The 24796-nt window shown below is 55.9% G+C and overlaps 1 long non-coding RNA gene across 1 annotated transcript in view, besides 5 other annotated features; it reads right to left on the bottom strand.

The window, feature by feature from the left end:
• Positions 3055 to 3657: an enhancer, noted in NCBI's record as "H3K4me1 hESC enhancer chr9:137446661-137447263 (GRCh37/hg19 assembly coordinates)". NCBI's record gives its function as "activates a minimal SCP1, AML or CMV promoter by ChIP-STARR-seq in primed H9 embryonic stem cells {active_cell/tissue: H9 hESC(primed)}" and the evidence as "EXISTENCE:reporter gene assay evidence [ECO:0000049][PMID:30033119]".
• Positions 4521 to 5041: an enhancer, noted in NCBI's record as "H3K4me1 hESC enhancer chr9:137445277-137445797 (GRCh37/hg19 assembly coordinates)". NCBI's record gives its function as "activates a minimal SCP1, AML or CMV promoter by ChIP-STARR-seq in naive H9 embryonic stem cells {active_cell/tissue: H9 hESC(naive)}" and the evidence as "EXISTENCE:reporter gene assay evidence [ECO:0000049][PMID:30033119]".
• Positions 5042 to 5563: an enhancer, noted in NCBI's record as "H3K4me1 hESC enhancer chr9:137444755-137445276 (GRCh37/hg19 assembly coordinates)". NCBI's record gives its function as "activates a minimal SCP1, AML or CMV promoter by ChIP-STARR-seq in naive H9 embryonic stem cells {active_cell/tissue: H9 hESC(naive)}" and the evidence as "EXISTENCE:reporter gene assay evidence [ECO:0000049][PMID:30033119]".
• Positions 12452 to 13217: an enhancer, noted in NCBI's record as "H3K27ac-H3K4me1 hESC enhancer chr9:137437101-137437866 (GRCh37/hg19 assembly coordinates)". NCBI's record gives its function as "activates a minimal SCP1, AML or CMV promoter by ChIP-STARR-seq in naive H9 embryonic stem cells {active_cell/tissue: H9 hESC(naive)}" and the evidence as "EXISTENCE:reporter gene assay evidence [ECO:0000049][PMID:30033119]".
• LOC100506532 (uncharacterized) overlaps positions 13209 to 24796 on the bottom strand; it is a 58996-nt gene continuing 47408 nt past the window's right edge. Inside the window, exon 3 of the long non-coding RNA NR_188441.1 lies at positions 13209 to 13552. This is a non-coding gene — a long non-coding RNA (uncharacterized LOC100506532). The remainder of the gene's footprint in view (positions 13553 to 24796) is intronic.
• Positions 19139 to 19771: an enhancer, noted in NCBI's record as "H3K4me1 hESC enhancer chr9:137430547-137431179 (GRCh37/hg19 assembly coordinates)". NCBI's record gives its function as "activates a minimal SCP1, AML or CMV promoter by ChIP-STARR-seq in primed H9 embryonic stem cells {active_cell/tissue: H9 hESC(primed)}" and the evidence as "EXISTENCE:reporter gene assay evidence [ECO:0000049][PMID:30033119]".

The following is a 24796-nucleotide window of genomic DNA, read 5'->3' as shown; positions in this document are numbered from 1 at the left end:
TCCTTTTCCTTTCCATTCTGTCCTCTCCAGAAAGGAGTCACGAAGTGCAGCCCACACTCCAGGCTGGGTGGGGCAGGAGGCTTAACTACGTAAAGCAGAGCTCTTCTGTGCGGGGGGCCTGTCTCTCCTCCCCATTCGCTGACTGACTGAATAATTTATTACGTCACTGTGGAGTCACGGGTGTTTATTTTATAATAATTTGGGTTCTACCCCAATACCTCATTATCCATATCTTGCTCAAATTGTTCCAGCTTTGGCCACTGGGAGCTCCTTCAGGTTGGCCCTGTGACGTGCCCCATCCTTTTGCTTTGAGTTTGTTTGAGTTTATTTATTTACTTATTTTTGGTGGGGGGCAGTTTGGGTTTTTTTGACAGAATCTCACTCTGTCATCCAAGCTGGAGTGCAGTGGCACGATCTCAGCTCACTGCAACCTCCACTTCCTGGGTTCAAGTGATTCTCAAGCCTCAGTCTCCCGAGTAGCTGGGATTACAGGCACGTGCCACCACATCTGGCTAATTTTTGTATTTTTAGTAGAGATGGGGTTTTGCCATGTTGGCCAGGCTGGTCTCGAACTCCTGACCTCAAGAGATCTGCCCGCCTCCTCCTCCCAAAGTGCTGGGATTACAGGCATGAGCCACCATGCCCGGCCTTGAGCCCGTCTTTACTTTCTGGCACTACACAGTGCTCCCATCTCGTGTGTCTACTCCCTCCCCAAGGAGCTCTGTTCCCTTTGATTGGAGGATAGAGTCAGAACCCGAGATCTGGGCTCTGGAGTGTTTGCCGCGGAGGCACCCTTGCTTCAGTCTCGCTCAGCAGATGGGGTTAGGAAGTTTGTGTACAGCCCACGTATCCATGCAGAGCTAGATCTCTTTCCATACCCGCCCACCTCTAGCTACAGGACGCTGATGGGTGTTCACAGTGACGTCCCCAGTGCCTGTGGTTGATTCCAGCCTCGCATCCTTGCTCATTCAAAACCTCCCTCGCCAAGAACGAGGAGCCCAGCTGCCGTTTCATCCCTGTACACACGCACGGCAGCTTCAGGATCGGTAACCTGCCCTCCCGTGAGCAATATCTGCGCTGAGTGCAGTGTTGAAGCACGGTTGCCTTTTCCTGTAGTCATACAGATTCTCATCAGAATTGTGTTTCCCAAAGTTGCTTAGGTGAGTGCATCTGCCATGCTTACTGGGCCAGAGGAGTCACACCCCGGGGACCATGCAAAGCAGCTTTCACCTTCCCTGCATGCTCTTGCAATTCCCACAGAGGATTCGTCAACCATCACCCTCACCCCACAAAGCAGCAACCTGTTCCCAGGAAGAAATGAACACAGGAAAGACAGAAAACATGCCAGGGACCTGATTGCATATGGCGGCTGAGCACTCCCAGTGTGACGGCCTAGAAGCAACCTGGCTATGGGATGAGAAAAGGAGGAAGCGTCCACCCTCTGACACACCTACTGTTTCCACACCGAGGCCCCTGCTGTCTCCAGCGCACATCTGCGAGCCAGTGTCTATCCCACAAAGCCAGCTGCCAGGGTCCCGGCCTCTTCATCATGGTGCGTGCGGCCACGGCCCAGCCTGCTCGCTTCCTGCTGCATTAGAACATCTCCTCACTGGGGATTCCAGGGCCCTGAGCATTCTTGAGCAAATCTGTTTCCTTGCAGAGCGCATATCTCAGGCAGACACAGAATGTATAGAAAGAGCCAGGCCATCTGGGCTGCAGTCCACAGGCACAGGGCTGATGTTGCAGTGTTGGACACGCTGTTGACTCCACACCCAGCTGAGCTGGAAGGCTTTCCCTTGCATCTCCCAGCCACCGCTGACGAGAGGTCCCTGACGAGAGGTCCCTGCCCAAGTCCAGCCCAAGGCACCCCTGAGGGTTTGGCAGGAGTGGGGCACAGAGCCCACTGGTAGGGAGAAGCGGCTGTGGGCTCAGGCAGCCCTGGCTTTGAATCTGCGGTGCCCCTCACTCGCCATGGAAACTGGAGAGGTGGAAGCTGCCCCTGTGGGTCTCCATCTGCTCATCTGGGAGAAGCAGCCATAAAAGCTACCTGATTTGGTGTTTTCAGGGGTTGTTTGTTTGAGATGGAGTCTTGCTCTGTCACCCAGGCTGGAGTGCAGTGGTGCGATCTCCACGTACAGCAACCTTCGCCTCCCAGGTTCAAGCGATTCTCCTGTGGCAGCCTCCTGAGTAACTGGGATTATAGGCGCCCACCACCACACCCAGCTGATTTTTATATTTTTAGTAGAGGTGGGGTTTCACCATGTTGGCCAGGGCGGTCTCGAAATCCTGACCTCAGGTGAGCTGCCCGCCTCGACCTCCCAAAGTGCTGGGATTACAGGCGTGAGCCACCATGCCCTGCCGTGCCTGATCTATTGAATGGACTCAGAGAGGCAGTGAGAGGTGAGAGCTCAGTAGACAGTGCCTGCAGCAAGGCGGTTCTGTGGGTCCCCGAGACATGCTGAAGCCTCCACCCCAGGCCCTGTACCAGGTACCTGACAGGATGAGGTCACCTACCATTTCCGATGGGTGGGCAGGGCCCCCATAGAGCTCAGACACTGCTGGGCTTGCTCCTGGGCTCCCCCCCGCCCCCGACACAGGGCTGGCATGCAGTGGGTGCTCCAGGAAGCCCCCAATCAGCCACAGTCCAATGACCAACTCCTGACCTTTCCCTGTGAGCCCAGACTCCTTTCAGGGAGGAGCATGTCCCAGAGACAGTCCTGCAGGTGGCAGGCGGGTTCGGAGAGAACCCTGCCCTTTACTTTTTGGAATTAGGGCCTCCCAATCGGAGCCAACATCCTGGGACCCTCGACAAGTCCCTACCCTCCTGTGGGTCTCCCATTCCCATGGGGAAACACATGGGTCAGCTTTCCCCTGCAGCCCCAGCTGGCTCTAAGAGCCTTCCTTCCAGAACATGGTAAGTAATTTATCAAAGGTTCTCAAAATGCCCTGCCCCCTCTGCCCAGCTCTGTGGCTCAGAGAAAATTCCTGTGCTCTTTCCATGACTTCCTGCAATGCCTTCCCACATGTTTCCATATCACTGGGTCCTGTTCCCTCAGCCGTCCCTGCAGCTGTGCGGTTTTAACAACTGCTGGCCTAGAAGGCAGCATCCACTGAGACAGTGACCACTGAGGAACACGATAGACTCAGAAATGGGGAAACAGCCGCCCAGAGACGGCAAGCGAGCTGCCCAAGGTCACACAGCGTAGGATGGGTGCTGGGATGCTATGATGCCCTCCACCCACCTCGCTATCCTCAGGGGCCTCCCTGAGATCTCCCAGGCTTCCTGTGCCCAGAGTATCCACGAACCCAGGACCTGGCACAGCCACCAGCCACTCTGCATGGCTGGACCCATCATCTGTGGACCACTGAGCCTTTGGGCTTATCTGGATGATTCTAGCCCCACCCTGGCTGGGCTCAGACTGTCTCCAGGGCCTTGGGGAGAGCGGCTGGCCCAGCATGTGGATGAGCTCAGCCTCCCGCGTCTGGTCCCCAGATGCCCCAGTGAGACCTCCTCTGCCTTCTCAGGCGATCTTCCTCTGATCCCCACCCAGCACGCTTGTCCTCAGGAGACAGAGGTCAGCTCGTGCTTGGCCCGCAGAGCCCAGGCCATGGAGGGCCCAGCCAGGACAGCCAGCGGAGGTTGCCTTGCAAGCCTGGGGGTGGAGCCTCCATGGCTGGCTGCAGAGCCGAGCAGGGAGGAGGCCAATGCTGTGAGTGCAGGGAGGGGCTGGTGATGCCTGCCATGGCATAGATGGGGGCAAGGCTCACTGTGTGGACCACGATGGAGGTGCCCTTGAGTCGCTGTGGCACTTGTCCACCTTAGGGCTTGTTTGCTGGTCTGGATGGGTAGGAGAGCAAGGGGGGCCCTGTCAGTCCAGGGCTCCGCCTGGGCAGCGCTCTACACAGACAGTGCCCAAGGCAGGTGCGGCGTCCACAACAGCGGCGCTTCCTCAGTCCTGCAGAACTGGACACCTCAGCACCCGAGCTGCTGTCACCCAAACCGTCTCACCTGAGCCTCCCAGCAGGTGACGAGCGCAGAGCAGGGGGAGTCAGTCCATCTCTCGGATGAGGCACTGACCCCCAGGGCAAGGTCACAGTCAAGGCAGTCTGGAACCCAAATCTCTCTCAAGCCCAAGTGACAGGCCCCTGCGGAGCCACCTCCCACCAACCCCAGCGGGCTGTGCCGCTCATAGCTCCTCTACGTCCTGGCAGCCTAGAGATCCTGACACCCTAGACGCCCGCCTCCCAGCATTGTCCATCTCTGGCTTTCTGTTTGCTGGGCCTCCGGAGTGCCCTCCATCCACAGGGCATCGGCCCACCTGGGTCCCCTGAAGTGCCTTCCTGTCTCCCCACCTTCCCAGCCCCCACACCCCCCTGCTCACTCCGCCAGGCCTGCAGGACTCCCAGGCTCTGTGTCTCCCTCAGACCCACCCAGGCCCCCCGAGGGCTGACAGCCCCCATCCCCTGCTGGGAAATGAATTCCCCCTCCCCAGCCTTCCTCTTCCTCCCCTTCTCTTTGCCCGGAAAGGCATTCGGCAAGAAAGTGAAAGGAGAGGCTTTCTCTTCTTATTAACCTGGAGTTGTGTTGCGGGCGGCGCCAGAAACTGCAAAACCATCGCTGTCCTCACATGTTTCTCTGGAGACCGAGGGAACCAGAGCCCTCCAGAGCCGCACAGGAAACCCCATTGGGGATTGGACGGCACCCCTGATGAGCTGCTATTCCCCAGGGAGCACTGAGGGGCTGGAGAACCTGGGGAGGCAGGAAGAAGATCACTCTGACTTTGCTGGGAGTGGCGTCTTCACCGTCACAGCCTGGCATCAAGGGGAGCACTTGTCAAAAGTCTGAGAGCATGGGGGTGGGCTCTGCCCGGCTTCCTGCCCGGACCTCCCAGGAAGCGGGGAGCCCAGGAGGAGGGGATGGAAAGTGCAGAATGCCGGCCTCGGGCCCCTGCTCTCCTCTCCCCAGCCTGCCTGTCCCAACAAGGAGGGCTGGTCCACACTCGCACTGGGCCAGCCGGGCCGCGCCAGGCCTGGCACATGCTGGGCACTCAAGAAGTGCCTGCTGCATGAAGGTTGGGTGAGCGCCATCTCCGAGCAATGCTGTGCCTACAGGCCACTCAGGGTGACTCTCTGGACACAGCCCACCCTGACTTCTGCCCCAAATCAAACTGCAGCTGCTGGTACTGCCGACAGCAGGGAAGCCCCTTGGGACCCAGGAGGAGGCCTGGTGGGGATCTGACGCGGCTGAGGCCCAGGCTGAGCTGGAGCCCCGGGTCAGCCCCAGGCACTGCATCACGGGCCACAGCTGGTTGGGGCTCTTCTCTCCACTACCCTGACCCAGCCTCTGGCCCGCCCCTTCCACTGCCCAAAAGGGAAAAGCCACAGTCTGGCTCTGCAGAGGGGAAAGTGCACTTGGTCAGGAGTGTCAGCAAAACCAAAGTCTAAAATGCTGAGCCCCCTGAGCTCAGAACTTAGTGTTCAAAGGCTCACCAAGTCCTGAGGTGTGGCCAGCAGTACGGAGCCAGCTGCAGGGACCCCACCCGAGGCAAAGGCCCAGCCCTGTCCTGGGGAGCTACAAGCCAGGGCAAGCATGGCTGAGGGACATGGGCACAGGTGGTCCCAATTCTCACCTTAGCAGGTGCTGGCCCTGGGGCACCAAAGGACTTCTGGGGGAGATGGTGCCCAGGGTGTGGCTGGCGGTTGATCTGGGGTTACTGGTCCTGTTTTCAGGTCACTGTAGTGGGGTTACATGGAAGCCCCCGGTCACACTCACCTAGAACCCCCATTCTGTTCCTGGGGGACCTGCACATCTGCAGAGGGCTTTCCATGCCTGCCCCACCCAGCTGGCACCCAGGGAGGTGGAAGAAGACAAGGCAGCCTCCCTCCAGTCCCTCAGACTCCGCCGGACCCCAGTGTCAGCAGAGCTGGTCACTGAGTAGTAGTAGTACTAGTACTACATGGGTACAAGGGAGACCCAAAGCCAGGACAGGGACCCCAGGCCACCCCCGACCCCACATCCGCTTGTTCAGCTGGACTGGCCAGGTTCTCCCTTCTCCTTGCCATTTCAATCATCTCAGGGCAATTTCCTTTCTCGTCTGAACTCTGATTCCTCCCCAGATGGCTTCCTCCCTCGTTCCCCCTCTAGCGGGTCTGGGCCAAGCCCCGTGGCTAAGGAACATCACAGGCCGTCGCTAGGAAGGGCACCGCGGCGGGTCGGCCGGAAGGCTCTGGCGGCAGCGCGCGTGCTTGGAAAGGGAAGTCCTCCTGCAGAAAGGCGCGGGCTGGGGCTTGGGGCCTGTCCCACCGAACCAGGCTCAGTGGCCACAACTATGCCATGAGCACATTTTTAGACTGTGAGTCAACTGCTAATAGAGTGATTTTTATAATCACCCCAGAAGGAAGGCTGATTTATAGCTCTTCTCGATGGAGCAGAGTCAGCAGGAGGTGGGTCTGAAATAGACTTGGGGTGGGGGGTGGGGGAAGGATCCCTCCTAGACCAGCCACTGGCCGGCGTGAAACAAGGCAGAGAAGGCTGCACAAACCTCTCGGCCCCTTGTCCACGGGGAGTCTGGGCTCCCTGAGATGAAGAGCAAGACCAAGTTTGCTGTCCTATCAATCAGGACACTGAATTAGATCCCCTAGGGCTGGCTTATATTACTGTCACTTCAGCATTTAGTTACAAGGGAAAATAAATCAATCGCAGAAATCATTGTCTGTGCTTCTATCCTATGCCAAGCCGTATGGATTTTGGGAGATGAAGAAGACCAACCTTTTGTGCAGGAAGGGGGCCACATGCAGGAAAAAGAAAGTTCCAGATGTAAACACATAATGGTCTGTGGGTCTCATCTGAGCCTGTTGAGCTTGAACTCAGTGGAGAGTTGTCCCGTCAGACCAGCCTGTTTGTGTGTCGACGGCTGCGAGGGATGCGCGCACGCCTGGACCGTTCAACCAGCGGCTGACGCGGCGGAGGCTCTGCAGCCTTTGCCCTCTGCCCCCTCCAGGTGGAAGGCCGGCTCCCTCACCTGCGGAGGATGCCAGGTCATGGCAGGGCTTCTGCAGGGCGGCTCCCAGGACCACTGGGGTCTCTACTTGGGAAAAGGGGCCATGGGCAGGGAGCCAAGACCCGAAAACTCAGCGACTCAGCCTTTTGCTTCTCCAGGACGGGGTCCTCCAGCACAGAGGACCCCTTCGATTCCACCCTCACACGCAGTTGACAACCAGCTCTGCCCCGCAGCTGCGGCCCTGGGGAACAGAGCGGCCCCAGCTCTAAACTGAAGGTGGGTGTGACGTCTCCCACACGGAGGATGTAAAGCGGGACAGGTGTGAAGAGGCGGAGAGATGCAGGTGCTGAAGCACCATCCAGTCCAAGGACAGCAAAGAGCCAGTGTCCACCTGGCCCCCTTCCCTCCTGTTCTCACAACACACGTTGCTGGTCAGCCCTCCCTCCTGTCAATTTTGGGCTGCTCCTCAGAGTCCTTCTCAACACAGCCCTCTGGGCCACCACGTGGAATTGGTGAGGATCATTTATGAAACAAGTTCTCCGTTTCTCTACATTATAAATAAAACTGAAACTCAGAGGGGCAAGGACCTGCCTGAGACCACTCAGAGTTGGAGCAAAGCAGACACGTGGCCGCAGTTGTCCAGAACACCCAGGAGAGGGGGCCGAAGGAGGTGTCCGGGGAGGCGGGAACACCTGAATGACACAGTGCCAGATGGGACAGGGGCTGCAGGGGCATCACTAAGGACACATGTGCTTGTTGAGTGAGTGAAGGATAAACATGAAGTCAACAAGACGTGGGGTGGGAGGTGGCACAGGAGCTGAGAAGGTGGAGTGGAAAAACAAACAGAGATGACAATCGACGGCCTGCAATGAAGGTTATTGTCATTAGGAAGCAAGTCTTTTATGATGGTGGGAAAAGAATATGCATTGGCTCGGCACTTGAAATGAATATTCCCATTTTATAACCAGCAAGACCCAAAGAAAGGGGATTGGTCGGAAACACCATAGAGCTGTTCCTCCGGGAGGCCCCCAGGGAAAGCAAGAGGGTCCCAGGCACAGCCACCACTGCCAGGGATGACCTTCAGAGAGAGGCCTCAGCCGCCACCACCCAGCCTCCACCACCCAGCCTTCTCCACCCAGCCTTCTCCACCCAGCCTCCACCACCCAGCCTCCACCACCCAGCCTCCACCACCCAGCCTTCTCCACCCAGCCTCCACCACCCAGCCTTCTCCACCCAGCCTCCACCACCCAGCCTCCACCACCCAGCCGCCACCACCCAGCCGCCACCACCCAGCCGCCACCACCCACCACCCAGCCTCCACCACCCAGCCGCCACCACCCAGCCTCCACCACCCAGCCTTCTCCACCCAGCCTTCTCCACCCAGCCTCCACCACCCAGCCTCCACCACCCAGCCTCCTCCACCCAGCCTCCACCACCCAGCCTTCTCCACCCAGCCTCCACCACCCAGCCTTCGCCACCCAGCCTCCACCACCCAGCCTTCTCCACCCAGCCTCCACCACCCAGCCTTCTCCACCCAGCATCCACCACCCAGCCTCCACCACCCAGCCTTCTCCACCCAGCCTCCACCACCCAGCCTGCAGCTGAAAACAAAACAGGTTGTGCCCTTCAGCAAGGGTGAGAGAGCCCAGTGAAAATGTCACTTTCCCTCAGATGGCTGCCTCGGTGGCTCTGTCTTACTGACTGTGTGTGCCGCATGTTTCTTTTATTTCAGCTGATGTGGGGTAACGGGGCCCTGCCTTCTCCCACAAACCCCCTGCCAGGACTCTGGAGGCAAACTGTCCCCAAAAGAAATGGTATGAGGCACCCTCAGCTCCTCCAGTGACCCATGGCCTGCTCCCTCCACAACATCCCCACCCCCAGCCTCAGGCTGGCACAGAGGGACAACCACGGCTGCGTAGACTCCCAGACGGATGCTCACGATGTTAGGGGCGGCCTGGCCCTGTGCCCACCTGAGGGTTCCCGGAATTCCAGCTGCCTGAGAAAGTCGGTGAGAGCCCAAGAAGGTGTTCTGGCACCCTGGATCTCCCGGATCTCCCGCTTCCCGAGGGGCCCGGAGAGAACAGACTTATGGAAGCATGGATTCTACGGATAGCCAGAGTCAGAGATGGTCTGGGTGCCAGCCACAGAAGGTACTGAAGCCAGAAGGGAAACACAACTGTCCACATACGGTAGTCAGTGCGGTTAAGAAGGAGGATTCCTGAGTCGGACATACCTGGGCTCAAACGGCTCTGCCACATCCTAAGTGCGTGGCCTTGGGGAGGGGCCTAACCTGACTCACCTGAGCCTCCTCATCGGTGGAGATGACACCTATGAGACGGGATAGCAGTGAGGTTGAAACACAGTAACACACGTGTTTAATCACACACATGCATATACACACACGCAGGCACACACACAAGCATGCGCACACTGCTTGGCACAGAAAGTGAGATATACTCAGTGCTGGGCTAGTACATGTTTAACAATCTTAGCTCTCTGGGGTAAACAAAATCCTAGAAAACAGACCCACTTTGTAGCACGCGCCGAGTCGACTTCCCCGGGGCAGATACTCCAAACCCTGGCTCTGCGCGCGATGTCCCTGAGCGGGCCTGGGAGGAGGTGAGAGTTACCCGCACGCCACCGGCTGCGCTGGTCCCAGCACAGGGCTGCTCCACCCAGAAGCTGCTGGCCTGACGGGTGACAGAGGGGCCTTTTGACCAGGCTGCAAGACTCTGACTTGGAGACAGGCCGCTGGAGGGTGAGTGCTATGGTTTGAACGTGTGCGTCCCCCCAGCATTTACATGTTGGAGCCTAAGGCCCAATGTGATAGTATTAAAGGGTGGGGCCCTTCAGAGGCGATTGAGTTATAAGGGCTGCAGCCCCATGAATGGGATCAGTGTCCTTATAAAAGGGCTCAAGGGACCTAGCTAGACCCCTTTTTGCCTTCCTGCCTTCCACCATGTGAGGACATAGTACGTGTCCCCTCCGGAGGATGCAGCATTCAAGGCACTGTCTTGGAGTGAGAGACCAGGCCCTCCCCAGACACCGAACCTTCCTTCGCCTCCTTGATCTTGAACTTCCCAGCCTCCAGTACTGTCAGCAATAATGTCTGCTGCCCCCAGATGACCCAGCCTGAGACGTTTTGTTGCAGTAGCAGACATAGACTGCCAGCGAGGATGGGGCCCCTCTCCAGAACGGCAGACACCCGTCCCTGACCATCTAATGGCCTTGTGCACCCAGAGGGTAGAATACACCAGTCTAAGAGCCAAGGGAAGGGAGAGGGGAGGTCCCACTCACCACACCCCTGTGATTGGGTGAGGGAGCTCATCTTCCTGTCTTCATAACGTCGGGCCCAGTGAGCCCAGGAGTCCAGTTTCTCCTAAGGCATTGCTGTCCCCAGAGACACAGGAAGAGTCCCCTCCAGTTTCCCTTGACTGCCTCTTGCTCACTGTGGGCTCCTCACGCCAACAGACCAGCAGCGTAAGAAGGAGATGGTCACTGAAGCGGGAAATTGGCCTCTTAGCCGGAGTCACTGGGCCTGCTCCTCGTGGGGGGGTGGGGTGCTGCTGCCACACAACAGGGGAGGGAAGAACACAGTTTCAACTCTGCGCACACCCCTAAGCATGTGTGAGGGTGACAGGACAGATGCAAGAGCTGGTTGGAGAAGGGCCTGGTGACCGGGGCACTGACCTGAGGGGCAAGGGTGGGGGTCACCCAGCTTAAGGCCAGACCAGCAGAGGCAACAGGCGGGGGTGAAGGGAATTGAGAATGGGTGGCTGAGGGGAGAAATGACGAGGCTGGCTGCAACCGGGCGAGGGTGGAGGGTGCCGTGGTTTATCCCATAACCCTTCTGTTACCTTTCCCCAGAAAAACAGATCAGCCGAAGCTCTCGCAGAGTAACTGAGTGTTCGAGGAAGTGAGGAGGCTGCAGCAAATGTTCTCGTGTGCCCAAGATGCCACCCTCAAGACCAAGGCTGTCACTCCAGGCGGGCCTGGAGCTGCCGGCGGATCACAGCAGAGTCTCTGCCAGCTGCCCTGCACCCAAGGGAGCTGCACTGTGTGAGGTCACGCCCGCTCCCAGGCCCAGCCACATCTCAGGACAAACCGCATGGGAGTCGGTCCGGAGGCTCAGCCCGCTTACCTCAACGCAGGACAACTCCAAAGGGAATCCCAGCTCCAGAGCCGTCCACAGGACGGGCTGACGCCCGAGTTCACGACCGCGTCACCACTCAACTCCTCCCTCCGCCCTGTGCTGCACCCCTCACGCCCTTTTAGGTGTTGGTCCCAAAAGCGTTTCCCCAAAACCACCCATACATAATTCTCTATTTCCAAGGACTCCAGAGAGCCCGTCTTAAGACACTTTGGTTGCAAGACCCCAAACCAACATGAATGGTGCCCCTAGCCAGGTGTAATGGGAGAGAAGGCCCGTGGTGGAGGCCTCGGCTCTGTCTGTCATAACTGGAAGAAGAGGGTGGTGGCTGCCAGGTGCTTTGCCAGGTCCCGCTTACCACCCTGGGGCATTGGAGGAGTCACCCGTTGCTGCCCATCTCAGCAGACAGGGGCAGGTGTCCCCGGAGCATCGCCCCTCAGGGCAGGGCTGTGAGTTTTCACTCCACGGAGGCTCAGGCCATTCCCAGCAAGAGGAGGCCATGTCCGCGTGGCACATTCTAACATATGGTGAGTGTGATTGTAATCAGTTGTCCAAAACCCATGGGGATTGACTGTTCATCGACTCCCTTTCAGGGGCTGTTGGAAGAATTAACTGCACGTCAACTAGCCGCGGAAAAAGGCTGAACTGCTTCTCAGCATGTGTGTGGAATTCTTGACTGGGATTTTCAATATGGTTCAGAGCCAAACTTTTCTTTCTTTCGGAAAACATCTGAGAGTCTGCTGAAAGCCAGTGAGAAAGTAATCCCATGTACACATTCTCGGCAAGCCTCAGGCTGAAACGGCTCTCACATGTGGACTCGAGCCTGCCTGGATACAGACGGGTTGGAGACGGATCTGCTCAAAGGCGGCTCAGCAGGAGTGAGAAACCAGTCCTTCCTGAGCTTTCTGCAGCCCCCCGGGAGCCCACTGAGGAGGCTCAGAGGCTGCTCTGGGACAGGGAGCAGCCAAGGTGGGACGCAGGGCAGTGGGCAGGCTTCCCCGGGCAGCAACGCCAGCACCCCTGCTTCCAGCATCCCCATCTCAGTCCCCTTCACATGCAGGACTTCCCCCAAGTGATTAATGTGACAAAGGGGCCCTGTGGCTAAGGAAACACCAAGGCACAGGACGGTCACGTAAACGACAGCCACGCTTCGGCAAGGTCCCCACTGGAAATACGGAAGCGAGACAGCGCGTCTGCAGCCACGTGTCCGTCGGGTACCGAGCCACCCAGTTCCATGCTGGGACCACATGGATGGGGAGGGGACACCGTGGCCACCCCCTAGGCATTGCTCAGTCATTCTTGTACAGCGTACAATCGCCCGTTTATAGGAAGAATGCTGACCATATATTCTGGTTTTCCATGCGCAATACTTCACTAGGAAAGAATGCAGAACTCACCAGAAGGAGCACACGCTGCAGTTTTCCCCATCAACCAAACCTCTTCCCAGGGATTGGGAAATAGGATGGCGGGGCTCTCCTGCCCTTCCGGCGCCTGGAGAAGGCACAGGTGGCCCCAGCAGGGTCCTAGACAGACAAGGGTCCCAGAGATCAAACCATAGGGTCTTCCTGCCTGAGACAGGGACATTTGACAAGGCAGCTGTGAGTTTGGAACCTGTAACCAGGGCACGGCGCCTCGGCACTCCACTCACCCTGCAGAATGAAATCTCAACCCAGGATGGACGGTGGAGGGAGTGCTGCCTCTCACCGGCGAGGGCACAGCCTCACCCAGCCACAGGGCTCCCTGTGTGACACAGGCTGAGCTCTGGGTCTCGGGAGAAGGCACACACACGCTTGCAACGTGAGGTTTCCTTGCAACACAAAGTTCAGATTTAGGAGGGGAAAGATGAGTTTCAGATGCTAAAACTAGTCTTTGGGGACTTTTCAAGGATAAGAGATGGCCTGCTTCTGGGCCGGCCTTTGGGAAAGGTTTTCATTCTCAATTTCCACCCTGACCGATGCTGCGTCGTGTTGTTGATATGTGAAACGTGGTCTGTGATGTCCTGAGGCCTGGAAATCCAGATGTTCCCCAGTTCAGACTTCACAACTCAGGAAAGTGAATCTTAGTGAAATACACATTGGAGCTTTTAAGAACTGTTTTTAAGGAGACATGTAAGAAAACGTGACTCAGTGAATGATCACAAAGTTTGCATGCAGGTGACAGACACCCAGGAGAAGAGGCACAATAGGACCGTCTCCCTGGAGGCCCTCTGTGCCCCTCTCACCCTCATTCCTTCTCCCTTCCCCAGAGTGGCCGCCGCCTGCCTGCTCACACTGCCTCCGTCACCGGGATCGCGCCGTGGGTGAATCTGGTGTCCGGCTCCTTTTGCTCCATGTGGGCAGGCTCCCCTCTGTTGCTGGGCCTGGCTCTTCATTCACTCCCATTGCTTATGAGCACATGGATGCTTTTTAAAAGGAGAAAAGAAAATTAGCCTGTTGTTGTTTGAAGGCAACAATCCTGCCCTGTCCAGCTGAGAACATCTGCTAGGAGAGCTTGGGCTGTGCCGTGCGGGGAACCGTGGGAAGCAGGGTAGGTGGGTGTCTGTCAGGGGAGGGGAACCAGGGATTAGGTCAGACAAGAGGCGGAACAGGGAGACAGGCAGGACCAACACCATCTCGGGGGCTTGGCCAGACCGGCCACTCATCTCTGCCAAGTCAGATGCCTCCAAGGAGCCGAACCCTAGAGAAAGCTGCAGGGCCGGGAGCCTCTGGGACGGGAGGACCCCACCTCCAGGGCAGCCCACTCTGGGGTGGGACAATGGCCTCCTTTGCTGCCCCATGGACGATGAATGGCACCCATGTATGACTCATGCCGCTGGTATTTTCTGGCTGATTCCAGTGAGCCGAAGGAAGGAACCTTAGTTACTAAAGGCTGCTCTCACTGCAAGCCAGCGGCTCCCTGCAGCTGGTGAAAGTGGGCGCCGCAGGATAGCGCAGCCCTACCCCTTGCACTTCTCCGGATTTTACTTTTCTTTTAATACTATGAGGATGAAAGGACGAAAGCTAGTCTAGGATTGAAAACATCGGCCAGGCACGGTGGCTCACGCCTGTAATCCCAGCTCTTTAGGAGGCCAAGGTGGGCAGATCACCTGAGGTCAGGAGTTTGAAACCAGCCTGGCCAATATGGTGAGACCCCTGTCTCTACTAAAAATACAAAAATTAGCCAGGCACAGTGGCACACGCCTGTAATCCCAGATACTTGGGAGGCCGAGGCAGGAGAATTGCTTGAACCCAGGAGGTGGAGGTTGCAGTGAGCCGAGATCACACCATTGCACTCCAGCGTGGGTGACAAAGGGAGACCCTATCTCAAAAAACAAACAAACAAACAAAAAACAAAACAAAAAAATGAACAGAAAACATGACACCCCCTCCTGGCACTTCAAACACCCCTACGACATCTGTGTCCCCTGCCCAAGTCCTGTCCTGCACAGAGAGGGTGGAGAATCCACATGTGAGGCATGAAGAAGCCACACAGGCTTAGCGAGGAGGGGCAGCCATGCCCGACCCACAGAGGCTATTGGCTCAAAATCCTTCCACGATAATCAGCTGCTTTCCCACCAAGAAACAAAAGCCTGGAGCACGTGCAAAGGAAGAAGAGAGCTCAGCTGTAAAATGCCAAGACGTTCAAAATAACTACGGATGTTTAACAAGAAATGCACAGGCCTACGTGAAGAAATGTTAGAAACTCTATTAAGTAACCTAAGACAAAAATGGAAAAAAGAGGAAATTCCTGGTGCATAGGAGACTCATTAAAGGTAAAACTGGGCCAGGCACAGTGGCTCACGCCTGTAATCCCAGCACTTTGGGAGGCCGAGGCGGGCAGATCACTTGAGGTCAGGAGTTCGAAACAAGCCTGGCCAATATGGAGAAACCCCGTCTCTACTAAAAATACAAATATTAGCTGGGCATGGTGGTGCACACCTGTAGTCCCAGCTACTCGGGAGGCTGAGGCAGGAAGAATCTCTTGAACCCAGGAGGTGGAGGTTGCAGTGAGCCAAGATTGTGCCACTGTATTGCAGCCTGGGCAAACGAGTGAGACTCTATCTCAAAAAAAAAAAAAAAAAAAAGGTAAAACTGCCATTTTCTCCTAAAATTATCTACAAGTTGAATTCAATCCTGCTAATTAAAATACCTCTAGTAGTATTCTCTGCAGCGCTGGAGGGGGGTGCTTAACAGATGATTTTTATTTCAAATAAAATAATTAATTTACAAGGACAGACCAGAAATTTCTGATCCTGTAATGAAGTTGCCTAAGTAGCCGTTTGTGGTATCAAGGCCACCTTGGTACTGGAGCCATCGATGGGACAGAGCAGAGTCCAGAAATTAGTCCAGAGAGACATGTGGAATCTTAGATTCTGATAAACTGAAGATAGAAGACAGACTGTCCCATAAAGCGTGGGGAGGCAAATGCCTTGACATTCGGAGAAACAAACCTGAAGGAAGAATGGAATTCTTACCTCCCTCCTTACCCCAAAACAAATTCCAGAAGGAGAGAGTTTAAAACATGAAAAATGACACATAAAAAAGTAGGAAAAGGCCATGTGTGGATTTAAAATACAATCCTGGAGCATGAACGATTCTAGATGGCACCAAAAAGGTGATGTCAAAATGTCTATGGATTGGAGTACATGAAACGTGAAGGTTCTGTATAGCGCACACACACACATATGTGTATACACATCTGTATAACACATGTATGCTACATGTATGCATGTGTGAATGTGTGTATACATACACACACATGTGTAAGCATCTCACATATTATTCAAATACAATGACAACCTGGACAAAAAGAAAAATTGCTGCAGGATAGAGCAAGGCTTCAATTCCATAACATACAAGAGCTTGTACAAATCAGTGGGAGAAACAGACAGTGGACAGGAAGCAGACAATTCAAAGGAAGGGAAAACAACTAGGCTATGTGTATTGCGAGACGCAAACCCAATTGATATGGCTTGGCTGTGTCCCCACCTAAATCTCACCTCGATATCCCCATGTGTCAAGGTAAAGATAACGAATCACGGAGGCAGTTTCCCCCATACTATTCTTGTAGTGGTGAATAAATCTCACAAGATCTGATGGTTTTATAAATGGGAGTTCCCCTGCACAGGCTCTCTCTCTTGCCTGCTGCCATGTAAGACATGACGTTGCTCCTCCTTTGCCTTCTGCCATGACTGTGAGGCCTCCCCAGCCATGTGGAATTGTGAGTCCATTAAACCTCTTTCCTGTATAAATTACCCAGTCTTGGGCATGTCTTTATCAGCAGTGTGAGAACACACTAAAACACCAACTTGAATTATTTTTGACCCATTCTCCTGGCAACAGTTAAGAAGTTTTCAATACCTGGCATTGGTGTACTGGAGAAGAGGTGACCCTCGTGCTCTGGTGTGATGCCACGGGGGCGCTGGCTGCCGGGCCAGTGTGGTCACAAATCGGTATCTAAACTGCGTATACCCTGCACCCTCAGCATTAGAATCTCTACGGCAGTGGATTTCATCTTTATTTCATCTTTTTACGGAGTCAGCCAAGATGTACCCAGGAGAATGGCCACCACCCCGTTGCTTAAAACACGCGATGTTGCTCAGACACTTAGGGCTCGAACAGTGAGCAATGCTCCAGGTCCTCTGGGAACATTAACTTGATCCTCACAGCCACCTGTGAAGTAGGTACCCTCCTCATCCTCATGACACAGACGAGGAAACAGAGGCACAGAGAGGTTCAATAACTGCCCAAGGTCACACAGCAGTCCCGCCTTCTCGCCAGTCGTCGTGGGGCACAGTGAAGGAGGGGTGTGAGCCTCGTGATACAGAGCCTGGCGTGCAGTGTGTGTCCAATCCCTGCCTAGTGCTGCTGTCATCATGGTGGGCACAGGGTGCTCTGGGTAGTGGTTCGTTTCTTGAAAGGACTTAGATCTCCCTCCCAAAAAGTTTGAGGTTGATCCTGCTTCGCTAAGCACTCTAACAGCAAATTGTAGGGTGGACCCGATGCGGGGTTGCAGTGCTGTAACCACCAGGCGGATCTGATGACTCTGCTGTGTCCTGAGACCGTCGCTGTCCCAGGAGGATGCCGCAGGCAGATCCCAGCATCCCGAAAAGGATCATTAATACACGATTGCCCAGGGGCTCCGTGGATTCCAGACGAGGGGCCTTTTCCTCCCCTGCAAAGCCGCAGCCCCTCTGGACTGTTGAGCCTAAGGCCGCGTTGGCCAGGCGGCCTGTGACAAGTGTGACCCTCCTCCCCTGCACGGAACATTGCTCTCCAACGAGGCCAGGGGGGCTACAGACCGCACTCGGCCATTTCCAGGAAGTGATTTGAAGCCAGCCGTAAAAGTTGGGAGTGTTCCCCCTCCTCTGGGTTCCGGCTCTGGAACTGGTCCAGACCAGCTCCCCACACCCTTGGCGGAGGTTCAGGAGGATTTTTCCCTCTCGTTGAACCAGAGAATCAATAGGGGGATTGTCCCACAGTTGAGAAGGTAGGTCCCGGGGTCGCTGAAACGATGACTCTGGTGCCTCCCCAGGCAGCGTGGAGGTCACTCTGGAGGTCAGGGCCTGGGGATGTCATGGCCTCAGCCCCCAGCAGCTACAAAGAAGGCAGGAGTAGATGCCTCACACATCCATGGTTTTGGGTTTTCTCACCCAGGAAGTTCCAGGTTCCTTCCCTGGTGCCAGCCTTGGACCATCCACAGGGCCCTCAAGCACATGGGAAGGGGGTGTCTCCAGGGGCCACTCTGGAGGCCTCCACAGGAGTGTCCAGGCCCAAAGCCTCAGGGCCCTGGGGCTCTGTCTCCTAACAACTGCTTCACCCTTCCCACTGCCAGGTGGGACCCTCCTCTCAGGAGAGACCCACAGCCAACTCCAGGGAGCCAGCAAGTGTGTGTTTGCAGCATGGGGGTGGGAAGGCCGCTCCCTTGATAAGGAAATAACTGTCTGTAGTTATTCCCGGCGCAGCCAAGACCATCTTGTGCATTGACATTGACCACCCCTCTAGAAACACAACCTCGAAGTCGGTGAGAGATGGTGGCGTAGGAGCGTGTCAGCCTTTCAGGGGACGCCTGCACTCGGCCATTCACTCCCCAAGTCACCTTAGAAAGCTCCCTTCCCACCCAGTCCTCAGTTTCCCTAACTGACCAGGTCTCATGGTTCCTTCCAGCTGCACCTTCTGGGCTCCCCCAGGTCTCTTGGGGCATCTCTGTGGGGTGTCCAGGTAAGGTGCTCAGAGGACAGCTGGCCACGGCAGGACCATGGGGTGACAGTGAAGTTCCCTGTGGGACAGGGAGGAGGTAGGACACGCGAGCAGATGGGCTGGGTAGGGAGGTGGAAGAGGGGGACGTCCATGAAAGGGCTGGGAAAGCGTCCGAGGTCGGGGCCTCCTTGGCCTGGCACACAGTGCTGAGCAAAGGGCAGGGGAGGGCACCCAGGCAGCACCCCCAAGCTGAGGTGCCCCCAGGAGAGGTCCCAGAAGAAGCCCAGCACTCCCGGAGGAGGAAAGCACACCCCTGGCCCCAGCCTCAGGACCAAGTCCCCAACAACAGTTCCCATCCTTCTCCCTCGGCCACAGCTGGGCAGCAGCTGTTTGTGTCTGAAATCTTCCCCTCTCCCCCCACATCCTTTGCTTAGAGTGCTTTTTGCTCCAGTTGAAATTTTGTTCCAAATGGTAAATATTTTATTTCCATCTGCACGCCTCCCATACAGATGACTTTAACACAATATGGAAAATACCTTTCGCTCCTCAGTTCAGCCCAGGAGTTGAGATGAGTTCTCTGTGTGGACAGAGGGCACGCTTTTGGCAAAACATCCCACCTTCCTCTGGATCATGATAAGCCCAGGGAATGCGCTTGCCCGCTCCTGCCCTCCAGGGCCTACTTTTGGGCTTGTGAGATGCCATGATTCGGGCAGGGAAGCAGCATCCACGCGTGGGTTTTATTCTAGTCCTGTCTGCCCGGCGTTGGCATGCACCTCTGAAACTCCTGAACCGAGTGGAGCACAGTGGACAGGAGTCTGGACAAGCTGGCTGGGCTGCTTTGGGAAAGTCACCTCCCCTCTCTGATCCTCGGTTTTTCCTTCCGTAAACTGGAGGTGAACGCAACAGAGCCCATTCCACAGATTCTTGCAAGGACAGAATAAAATTGTGCTTATGAAATGCTTAGCCCACTGCTAAGTCTGTTACAATGGCAGCCACTATAAATATGGAATCTTAGAAATGTAGTCCACCCCGCTTCAGCTCACTGACGGAGAAGTGGTGCCAAAACCGTGCTGGCTGATTTGCATTTAGCGACTTGGATTACAAATGAAGCAATGGCTGTGGGGCCCGGGAGGGGCCTTGGCACATCAGAGCAACCCCAACAGTGCATCAGCACCGCATGCCCCACATGCATGGAAAGGCCAGCCCCTGTGGATGTCCCTGTCCTAGGAGAATGAATCCAGGGACCAAGTGACGGCCTCTCTATCCACCCCAGCGTGGCGCATGCTCAGGGCCCTGGTACCCAGAGGCCTTTTGTGGGTTCATTTCCAAATAGAAGGCTCTGCTGAGCGGCGGGTTGATGGCAGCAACAGGGTCGGGGAGGGGGCTGCTCCGCACCTCACCCCTGGGCCCACTGGTCCTTTAAGAAAGTTCACATCCGAGAACAGCTGCCTCATAAATTCGGTTTTCATTAATTTCCTGGAAGATGATGTTTTAATTTCCACATGGTCAGCCTTGGGAGACCTGGGGAAGGAAGGCCGAGTGCAGAGTGGGTCCTCTGCAGTACCTGGCACCCTTGTTTTTATGGATTCCCACACTTTCTGTTTAATCATCTCCAGCTTACAATTCTGGCACCCAAGGGGACAGGAGCAAGCCGATGGAAAAACCCCGATTGCTTTCTTGGAGTGAGAACCCAGCTTAGAGCAGCTCTAAGAGTCACAAAGGGGGAAGAACTCAGAACCCCACAAAGGACAGCCAGGCCCCTCCAAGGGCTGGACATCGCTTCCCTCCTCTGAACGTCCGTCCCAGGGAGAAGGTCGCTGCCGTCCACGTGGCACAGGGAGGAGGAACCTTCAAACATGCAGCAACAATGCTGTGTTTGGAGGGAGACAGACTCTGCCCAACTCCAAAAGTTCGTAGTTTTTTTTATTTTCTTCAGGTTTCCACAAAACCTCCAATAAACAATAAGCTAGCAGGGTCACTTTTAGTGTGAGGCCCGGGGTGTGGACGGGGATGAGGTCATGCGGCCTGGGCTGCTGGGATCCTGGACACAAAGAGAGCTGCCTGGTGCAGTCCCACACGAGCAGAGTGCGGAGGCTGCTGCATCTCGGCGGGCGTCAGGCTGTGGGGGCAGCCGGCCGGGCAGGGCGACAGAGGTTGAGGGCTCTAAGCTCTTCCTTTACTTTAAGATGTTGCCTCCAGCCAAAGTGCAGGTGACCCCTAGCTAGTAGCCCAGGGACCTGAGTCTCTCTGGACAGATCGACAGATCATGAGGCCTGGTGGTAAGGTGCACAGACTCCCAGCCAGACCCCCAGACCCCAACTGACCGTGTGACCTTGGTGAGGTTGCCTATCCTCCCTGCCTCGGTTTCCTCATCTGTAAAGTGAGATTCACAAGACCATTCCCCCTATGGGGTTGCCATACCGATTCAATGAGCTAAACTCTGTAGTGTTCAGAAAGGGTCATGGCATGTGGTAAGTCCTTCCGAGGTGCTGGCAAAATTCAGCAAATGCACCAGAGGCTCAGCCAGGAGGAAGAGAGTGCCCTGGCCCTGTAGGAGACCAGAGACCCTGCTTATTTCAGACACAAGGAAACTGAGACCCAGGGGCCTTTTGGGCCTGTCCAGTTGCCCAGCTGGTTGGCCTGAGACCTGCTCTATGGAGAGGGTGGCCCCCACTACTCCTGCTCCAGCACGTGCTCTGCTCCTGGAAGATGGGAGGGGGCACATAGCCCCCACTCAGGGTCTGCCCCTGCCTGGCCCTGCCTGCCCTCCCCAGGCACCCTGGGGCTTGGAGCTGTACCGGCCTCTGGGTGCTTTACAGACCCTACGGCCTCCTGGGTCTGCACGCCCCAGCTTTGAACCCTGCTCTAAGCAGTGCCTTGACCTGCCCCACCTGGGACAGCCTCATCCATGTCCCCAGACCCACCCAGCTCTGTAGGGGCCACATTCCAGATTGAGAGGCTGAGCCCTAGCTTCAAGGGCTCGGAGTCAGCTCGTTCAAGCCAGCACCGCCGGCACCCCCTGCGGATCCTGCCCCCGCTGATCCTGGCCCCACCGATTCTGCCCCTGCTGCACCCGTGCCACTCTCATGCTCCAAAATGGCTTGTTTTCGTTGTTCACTTTGGGGTTCTTTGGGGCACGTTTTTAAGTACAAAATATTTCCCAAAAATATAGAGCAGCACTGTCCAGTGGAACTTTCCCGATGATGGGCACGTCCTATATCGGCCCTGTCCCATTCGGTAGCCACTGGCCACTTGAAATGGGGCCACTGTGCCTCTGGACCTGCATCTAAAGTCCATCTTTTTAAATTCACCTGCATTGAAACAGCCAAGTACGGACCGTGGCTTCCACATTGCACAGCACAGGTTTAGAGAAGGTGACTCAGAACCAGAACTAACAGATCTCACGTTTGTTAAGTTTCTGTGACATTTCCGTTTCCCCAGAAGCAACCCCTGACACAAGGACCCAAGGATGGAGAGAATGCTGGGGGGAGAGGGGCCACCGGGGAGGGGGGTAGCCATCGAGAGAGCACGTGCAGCTCCACAGCCAGGTGTGTGCCTGGAAGAACTGAAGACAGGGACTCCAACAAGTGTGTGTTCACCGAGGTTCCTAGAGCACAATTCACAGAAGCCAAAGGTGGAAGCAGCCCAGATACCCCTCAGCAGAGGAGGGTCCACACGCGGTGGTCTATCCGGACAATGGGATGTTCCTCAGCCATGCAAGGGAGCAGAGCTCTCACACAGACGACCACACGGCAGAGCCTCAGAAAAGAAGCCAGACCCGAGCCCACATGTTGTGTGATTCATCTCCATGAAATGTCCAGAACGGGCAAATCCTCCAAGACAGAAGGCAGATCTGCGGTCACCAGAGGCTGGGCGCTGGAGGGGGAATGACGGGGGTGGTAGCAGACCCACAGTCACCAGGGGCTGGGGGGCTGGAGGGGGAATAACGGCGGTGATGGCAGACCCACAGTCACCAGGGGCTGGGGGCTGGAGGGGGAATAACGGCGGTGATAGCAGATCCACAGTCATCAAGGGCTGGAGGGGGGTGATGGGACATGGTACAAAGTTCTCTTTGGAGTGATGCAAATGTTTTAGAACCGGACAGAGGTGGTGGCTGCCTCACATCATGAAGGTACTAAATGCCATGGAACTGCTTACTTTAAAATGGTTATCTTTACATTATGTGAAGCCAGTTCCCAGGGAGGGTGATGGGGAACCCTACGGTGATGCTCTGGAAAAAGGGCCCAGAATTCCCCTCCCTCTCAGGGGTAGGGAGTTGGGATATGTATTCACCAATGTCCACCTCCAGCCCCATCATGATGGTGAGGTGTGCCAGGGACACAGAGATGCAGCCACTGGGGGCTGGGCTGTTGGAGAGGGTCCCTGACAGGGGTGGGTGCAGAAACTGCTACCCCTGTTTCTTAATTCAACAGTGATAATAAAGCTGTCCAGCCCCGAAGACGTGCCTCTGTATGTCTCCCCTATCCCATCTGCCCTCCCCAGAGACCCCCATTCTCCTGGGTGCATGTTTGTCATTCATCTGTGCAGTAGACAGAATGGTGGCCTCCAAAGGTGTCCCAGTTCCTGGAACTGGGAATATGTCACCTGATTTTGCAGATGTAGTGGGGCAGTGAGTCCAGTGTAATTAATCAGGTCCTTACAACAGGGAGGCAGGGGGGTCAGAGTCAGAGAGAGAAGATGTGAGGATGGAGACCAAGGTCGGGGAGAGAAGATGCTGCTGGCCTTGACGACGAAGGGTGGGGCCAAGAGCCGAGGACCGCAGGTGGCCCATAGGTGCTGGAGGGGGACTGCTCTCCAGAGCCCTGCCCACACCTGGATTCTAGACCAGTGAGACCAATGCTGGACTTCTGACTTCCAGAGCCATAAGATAATCAATATGTGTTGTTTTAAACTACACGTTTTAAATTCACGGCGATTTGTTACGGCAGCAGTAGGTATAGCATTTGTGAAATGTATGAAATTGAATATACATATATTTCTTTCCCTGACTTTTCTCCCTCAATCATATTTGATATTCATCCATGGCAAGGTGCGCCTGGGGGCACACGGAGCCATTATCCGCGCACCTAACTGCCGTGTAATATTCTACCACGTGGATACAGCCCCATTCTTTTGTCCAGCCACCTGTTGATGAGCCTCTGAGCTGTGTCCGTTTTGTTGGCTTTATAAGCCATATTCCTATAAACATTCTCTTCTGTCTTCCTGTTATATAAACAAGGGTTTCTCTGGACTACCATGTTCTGTTATTTGTTTATTCAGCAAATAGTTCTTGTGCATCTGTGCTCTATGCTGAGTGCAAGCCGGGGCTCCACGCAGCTGGGATCCGCCACCCACACACCCGGGGCACCATCAGGCTCTTCGCGGGTCCCTCAAGTCCCCTTACCTGGCCCTACATGAGCAGGAAGCTCTTTCATCCCCACAAGCACCCTATTTACAGGGTCATCACATGAAGCTAAGAATATCCCACTCCCAGGCGGGCAGCCGAAGTCACCTGCCCAGGTAAGCCCGAGGTGGGGCTGAGCCACGACCTCGTTCTTCCCAGAGTGCAGAGCCTTCACTGGTCCTCTGCCGAGTGAACTTCCTCCTCTTCATGAGGCTGTCCCCAGCACCTAGCTGTCAGTTTGATTCCCTTTGATAGACGAGAGAGCCCTCGGGGAAGCCGGTCTTTTCTCCACTCAGGCCCGAGGCCAGAAGCTCCGCGTTTCCGACGTGCTTAGAATATGTGAGCAACTATCGAAACAGTGAGGCCATTCTTTCGTGCGTCCAAAATATCCCTACTGACCTCTGCGTCCTGCTGGGCATTCGGCTTGGGGATTACGAGGAGGGGAGCTCCTGCCCCTCCAGCCTCGAAGGCACATCCAGTCCAGAGCACACGGGGGCTGGGGGCTGATTTCAACAGGAAATGGGGGACTCACTCCAGCCCAGATGATTCAGGGACCGCTGATTTACAAAGGGAGTGTTTGCAATAGTGTGGGTGAAGGGAGCCCCAGGAGAGTGTGGTCACAGGGCTCTCACCGCAGGCCCAGGGAGGAGGGAGGCAGCACTTCCGATCCCCATGGAGTCACACCTTGGGAGAGCTGCCACCTCCATGCAGCTGCACGGCCACCCTGAGACAACCTCACAGGGAGGGCCCTGGGAACGCCCACCCTGCCTTCCCTCCTGTCACCCCGCCCGCCGGCTGAGCCTAACCTGGAATTGGAGGGGAAGGGGGCCTTTGGCACTGTCTACCCAGGACCACGTCCGGTTACAGAGCAGAGCCGAGAAAGGTGGAGGGTGGGTATGGAGGGGCCAAACAGACCCACCGGCAAATGCATCATGTGCCGTTGGAAACACTGCAGTGGCGCCTCAAAAAGCTAAACAGAACTACCAGGTAACCCAGCAATGATACTCCAGACATAGTCCCAGTGGAATTGGAAACAGGGGCTCGAGTGAATCCACACACAGGC

This window comes from Homo sapiens, chromosome 9 (genome assembly GCF_000001405.40).
Source record: "Homo sapiens chromosome 9, GRCh38.p14 Primary Assembly".
Classification (NCBI taxonomy): domain Eukaryota; kingdom Metazoa; phylum Chordata; class Mammalia; order Primates; family Hominidae; genus Homo; species Homo sapiens.
Note: the sequence above shows the minus strand (reverse complement) of the source record. Positions and strands in the feature narration are given on the sequence as shown.